Consider the following 6,658-nt stretch of genomic DNA (forward strand, 5'->3'; position numbering starts at 1 on the left):
CTAGGCCAAAATGGAGACCCTAAGTGTTCCAGTGCAGTCTGCTTGTGGCCAGCTTACCTGGCAGATGTCCACTCACAGGGTTAGGAGAAGGTCCACAGTTCTGGACTTGCCGACAACTGGTTAATGCATACCACAGATCAGTTAAGGCCTATTAAGTGATTTTGGCTTTCTATTCTCAACACTGTCCCTGGTTTGGACTACAGATTATATTGCCAGCCAAGGTATCACAATGACCATATGCTTCAGGAATCATTTTTGCCTTCTGGGAAGAACTTTCCCGGGACCTGAAGCTGATCTCGTCCACTCAGTGTGGCCAGGTCCTGGGTCCTAGGTCCCCAGTTTCTCCCCATTCTTAGGCCGCCCACCATGTACCCTGTAACTGAACTGTGATCTCTGAGTGGCTTCAGGGCAGGTTGTGGGTCTGGCTGCTCTGTGCCCATTGGAGCATCCCTGCCTCACAGCTCATCTGCTGATGTATGATGCAGCTGACTCATCCCAAACTTGTGGCCTTGGCAAGTAGGACCCTCTCAATCCCTATCCGCACTTTCCACACAGAGGAAGCCAGACAGCATTGTGTATTGATGGTTTGTTTCCATCTCACTAATCAAGAGGCTGAAAGCAACAAACTCTTTTTTTTCCTCTATCTCAACTTTTATTTTAGGTTCTGAGGGTACACATGCAGATTTGTTAGATGGGTAAATTGAATGTTGCTGAGGTTTGGTGTACCAATGGTCCCATCACCAGCGATGGATATAGTCTGGAGGGCCAGACTCCAGGTTTCTTGTGGCTGAGGAATACACTCCTGTCTTGCTGAAGCCCTCCCTATGGAGTGAGCTCTGTGGACCAGCAGCTTGGGCATCGCACAGGAGCCCATTAGACATGCTGAACGTCAGGGCCAGCCCCAGGGCTTCTGAATCACGGTCTGCATTTTAACAAGATCCCCGGGTGATTTCTGTGTACAGGATGGTTTGAGAGGCACTGGTTTAAGCCACTATTTTTTTTTCCTGTTATTTGCAGCTGAACCCAATTCTTTCTTTCTTTCTTCTTCTTTTTTTCTATAGGGCTTTTAAAAAATGTTTCCTCACTGTTTTGACAATATCATGAAAAAAATTCAGTTTAGAATCTGGAACTGACCTGGATGAGATTCAGGGGCAGCTACATGGCAAGGGCGGCACAACCTCTTTGATTCCCTCCCCACGGTGGGAGCTAAGCTACTGGTAATGGAGGCGCCGACAGGCACCAAACCAGGAACTAAGTTAGTGTCTCAGGCAAGAAAGGGGAGGCGAGGCCGGAGCCACTGCGGGGACCCTCCTGGTTATAGTTAGTTGTCTCTCTCCCTCCCCACACTGGCGACATGAAGACAGGCAGGTGGGTCAGGTGTTCCAGGACAGAAAAATAACCAGCAGTCAGCCCTCAGGCTCACACCTGAGCTTCTGGTCAATCCCCTCGGCTGAACCCGCTTCTTGTGGATAGAGTAGATGATGTCCAGGTGGGGTCACTGAGAGAGTGGGGCTGGAGAAGGGATTTCTGAGCGGCTCACTCATGGGCACCCTCACCTCCCTTCCCTGCATGCAGGCCTGACTTTCTAGAAAACCCTCATTTCTAGAATGAGGGGTGTGGGAGCCTTGGCTAGAGCTGTTCTGGGGCCCAGGGTCTCAAAAAGCAAGGTTCCTGTCCCCTGTGATTGCCTTGCTCCGGACCCCTATGTCTCCAGCACCAAGAGTGTCAGGGTAGACGACGGTGTGGAGCTCAGTGGAGGCGGATAAGGGGGCTGTAGTCATTTTGAAACCTTACGGTATTATAAAATAGATCATCCTTCCTGGAAGCCATGGCCTTCTGTTTTTAAACACAGGCGTTTCTAGGCTGAATTTCTGGGGCCTCCTCTATGACTCAGACTTGATTGCCTAAGAGGGTCACAATCTTTGGTACAAAATTCCAAGAAGGGTCCCTCCCAGCACATGCACATCCACATCCACCCAGGTCTTGTACACCAGCACCTCTCAAACTTTAATGCCCAAATGTATCCTCTGGAGATTTTGGTGAAAGGCAGTCTGGCTTGTGGCCTAAGACTCTGTGTCTCATAAAGCCTCCTGGTGCTGCAGCAGCTGCTGCTGCTGCTCTGAGAACTACACTTTAAAAGGCAAGGTTGTAGACTCTCTACTAACAGCTAGTGGATATTTCTTAGTTACAGCCTCTCATCTTCAAAACCTGACCCCACAATTCCAGACACTCCAGTTAGAAAGGTCAAATTAATTGTCATTTGTTACAGGATCTCACCACGAGTGTGGCTTCTCTTGGACAGGTGAGGGTAGAAGTTTCTGTTTCTCTTTGTTTTGCTTTTATTAATAACCTACTACACACAGAACTTCATTTTAGATAAAATCCTGGCCAAGACATGAACAGGTGTGTAAGTAACTCTGTGGACAGTGGGATTTACTTTCATCTGGGTTCCTGGTGGTGAATGATATCTCCATGTTTAGAGAGCACCTCTCAGTTTGATGTGGCAGTTTTTTGCTGTGGTTATGACTTTCAACATACTTCCTGCTTTTCTTGCAAAACAGAGAAGACTCACTCCTCTGTGGGAGGCCACAGCCCAAATGATTGCTGGCTTCTTCAAGGGCTGGAGCAGGGCTTGCAGGGGATTGCTGGCCTTCAGTGTGTGAGGTCTTTGGCCTTTTTCTACGTGAACATCAAGGTTAATCTATGTGGACTTGGCCTTCTGTTGGAGCAAGTTATTGCAATGCTGTTGGAGGAGCATGAGGTTCTTAGCACTTCTTAGCTTCAGATATCAAGGGAGATTCTTGTCCAACAACAACAGAAAATAGAGCCCAGCCATTTTTGTCATCAAGATTGCCAGGGTCGCATGATCTCAATGGCAATGCTCACACTTGCTAGAAATTTGGATTCATAAGCTTTTGAGTTAAACAGGGTCTGAGAATCCTTAAAGCTAACTCCTCTCTGTTTCAGAGGTGCAAACTGCTAATGAGAAAGATGCCAATCTGGTTCTTATTCTTTTTTTTTTTTTTTTTTGAGATGGAGTCTTTGTTGTCCAGGCTGGAATGCAGTGGTGTGATCTCATCTCACTGCAACCTCCACCTCCTGGGTTCAAGTGATTCTCCTGCCTCAGCCTCTGGAGTAGTTGGGATTACAGGTGCCTGCCTCCACACCCAGCTAACTTTTGTATTTTTAATAGGACGGGGTTTTGTCATGTTGGCCAAGCTGGTCTCAAACTCCTGACTTCAAGTCATCTACCTGCCTTGGCCTCCCAAAGTTGGTTCTTATTCTTTTGTTGTTTATTTGTTTCTTGTTTCTCTCTGAGAGTGTTTAGGATCTCCTTAGATTGTTGGTGCTCTGAAATTCCAAGAGGTTATTTCTATGGATCACTCTTTGTTCATTGTGCTCAGTGCTTGGGGTCTTTCAATCCAAAGCTTATATCTTTCTTCAACTCCGGGAGATTTTTTTCAATTGTTTCTTTGATAATTTTCTGCTTTCTGTTTTCCTTCTTCTCCTTTTCTGAAATTCCTGCAATGTAAATGTTGAGCCACCTAAATTGACCCTATGTATTTTTTTTCTCCAATTACCCATTTTATTTTGGTCATTTTACTCTGTATTCTGCAAGTTCTTCTTGAATTTTTAATGTATTTTTTCTGTCTTTGACTTTTGGTTTCAAAAAAATTGAATGTATTATATTTGTGATAATAAAAAGTAAATATATTTTAAAAGGGATTTAGAACAAACTCTTGGTTTTCAACTGCTCCTTTTTAATAGAAGATTTTTTTTTTTTTTTTTTTTTTTGACAGAGTCTCGGTCTGTCACCAGGCTGGAGTGCAGTGGCGTGACCTGGGCTCACTGCAACTTTTGCCTCCCGGGTTCAAGCAATTCTCCTGCCTCAGCCTCCTGAGTAGCTGGGATTACAGGTGCCCACCACCATGCCCAGATAATTTTTGTATTTTTAGTAGAGACGAGGTTTCACCATGTTGGCCAGAATGGTCTCAATCTCTTGACCTCGTGATCCACCTGCCTTGGCCTCCCAAAGTGTGGGTTTTGTTTTACGGACGTATCATCTTGGTTCTCCAAGAGGATAATTAGAGTTTAAGGTTTTTACTTAGTTCTTTTTCCTTTCCTTGTTCTACCTCCTCCAAGTTCATTTGTTCTGTTGACTTATCTTGGTCCTTTTCTTTTCCTGAGTGAATGGTGTTTGTGGCAGCTCATTTCTATTTATGCATTCTAGGTTGGGTTGTTAAGTTGAAGTAAATGGGGGACTGGGGTCCTTCTGCGAATGAGAAGGTGTGACTGTGAGCTCTCTGGCTGTGGAAGGGGGTGCTGATGGGTAAATCTTGCTTTCTTCTGTGAGAGTGGGAGAAGTCAAACCAATTCAAGGAGACCCCTGCTCTAAGATGTTACTCCCATGTTGGAAGCCTCAGCCCCTTCCAGTCAGCTTTTATTTGCTTTTTAAAAAGATTATTTCTCAAGGGTGCAAGGGTGGTAAGGGATAAAAGACTAAACACTGGGCACAGTGTACTGCTTGGGTGACAGGTGCAGCAAAATCTCAGAAATTACTACTAAAGAATCTATCCCTGTAACCACCTGTTCCCCGAAAACTATTGAAATAAAATAAAAATAAAAAAGGATTATTTTTCCAGCTTTTAAGGTAAAAGCTGCCATTTTCTGCCCATGGGATTAGGGAGAGGTGGGATGGTGAAGGCCAGTTTCCACAGCAGTTTAGGTCCAGTCATTCCATCAATCACTTCCTTTTATGCTCACCCTGGTCTTTGTACTTTCCAACCTCCAGAGGCTCTAACGTGAAGGACATCACCCCCTGCCACTGCCCTCACCAATAACTTCCACTTTTATTGCAACCCCAAAATGTGTTCTGAGCATCTAGGAAGCTAGAAATCAGCCTTCCTCATCAACTTCCTTAAAATTGGGGATTTAAGTAATACTTTTTAGAATCTGTCCACTCAGCTTCCAGGCCACATCCCTCTGACCCAGCTCCACCCCATTTCCATCCTTATTGTTTCTGGGGGAAGCCACTTGATGATGCCAAGTATTTTCCAGTTCTGCTTTTGACCGCACTTTGCAAAGTAGTGTATGGTATGATGCTTGTTCCTTCCTTGGTTTGGAAGACTTTTGCCTGTTTTCTCAAAAACAAATGAACAAAAATCTCTGGTGTTTTTTGGATTTGGTGGGAGGGAGAATTTTGAATCTGCTTCAAGTCCCACATCTTTCTCTGCCACCTCACACGATTAATATCAAGAAGCACAGACAACTCTCATTTATTTCCCACTTTCAGTGAAAAAGAAAAAGCACCAACCTTGCTTGTTTTGGTTCCATTTTGGTTTGTTCTGTTTGTTTTTAATAGCTGTTCACATGAATGTATTAACCTGGATGGGATCTTGATTTGACCTAGAGTCATACTAGGTGGCTGAGAGGACACTAGTCAGCTTCCTCTCAACTATGAGATGACCTAGTGGTCAGCCTTCAGGGTCTGGATTTTCCTCAGGAGGGTCCTTGCTAAAAGTGGCAGAGTCCATTTTCAGTCCAAGACAGAATGAGATGAAAGAGAGAATCAAGGATGTGGACCTGATTGCCTGGAGACCTGTGTTCTAGTCCCACCTGGCCTTCTTATCAACTGTGCAGGCTGGGGCAAGTGGTAGCCTCTCCCCAGCTTCATTTTCCTCCTCTGTAAAATAGTTGGGTGGGTCCTGATGTCTCCCAGATCGCTTTTACTTTCTAAAACTCCATGATTCCTTATAAAGTAGGCTTCTAAAGAGCAAGTAAGGGCAGGAGAGGATGTGAAGGGGAAGAATAATTAATATCCACATTCAGCCCTAATTTGGTTAGTATGGTTTCATTAATAATGGAAATAACAACAATTGCCATTGATGAAGACTATTTATGTTTCTGTTTCAGAAACAATATCTGCTCTTGGAGTCACTGCCACCAAGGGAATAACTTTACCTGGAATATGGACTGGGAGCTCAAGCCAAAAGCATGGACAAGGGAGTCCCAGATTACAGGATACTATTATGACTTTTGCATAAATATAAACTCCTATTAGATAAATTGATAAGATGTGCTCTGGTTAGCTATTGCTGTGTAACAAACCACCCCAAACAGTGGTTTAAAGCAATGACATTCTAGGGTTGGCTGGGCTCAGCCAGGTGGTTCTTATGTGGTCTATCATTAAGGTGCAAAAAGATAGTGGCTGGGTTAGGGCCATTCTGAAGAGTTATTCACTCACAGGTCTAGAACCTGGGCTGAAGGACTCAAACAGCTGGAGGATCTATCTATCTATCTATCTATCTATCTATCTATCTATCTATCTATCATCTTCTATCTATCTATCTATCATTATCTTTCAATCTCCTCCATATGATCTCTCCCCAAAGTGGCTCCAGGGTAACCAGACTTCTTACATGACAGCTGGAGCCTTGGAGTAAGTTTCCTAAAGAGACACTGGTAGAAGCTGCATGATCTTTTCTAATCTGACTTCAGAAGTCACACTTCTACTACATTCTGTTCATTAATGCAGCCACAAGGGCCCGCCCAAGTTCAAGAGGTGAGGATACTGACTCTGTCTCTTAATGTGCAGAGTGTCAAATAATTTACAAGCACGTTTCAAAAACCACCAGAAGTTGCAAGAATGAATCAGTTA

At 44.3% G+C, this 6,658-nt stretch overlaps 1 annotated feature.

The window, feature by feature from the left end:
- Positions 1,566-1,675: an enhancer, noted in NCBI's record as "active region_19791". NCBI's record gives its function as "activates an Ori minimal core promoter by ATAC-STARR-seq in GM12878 lymphoblastoid cells {active_cell/tissue: GM12878}" and the evidence as "EXISTENCE:reporter gene assay evidence [ECO:0000049][PMID:35858748]".

This window comes from Homo sapiens, chromosome 3 (assembly GCF_000001405.40).
Source record: "Homo sapiens chromosome 3, GRCh38.p14 Primary Assembly".
Lineage (NCBI taxonomy): Eukaryota > Metazoa > Chordata > Mammalia > Primates > Hominidae > Homo > Homo sapiens.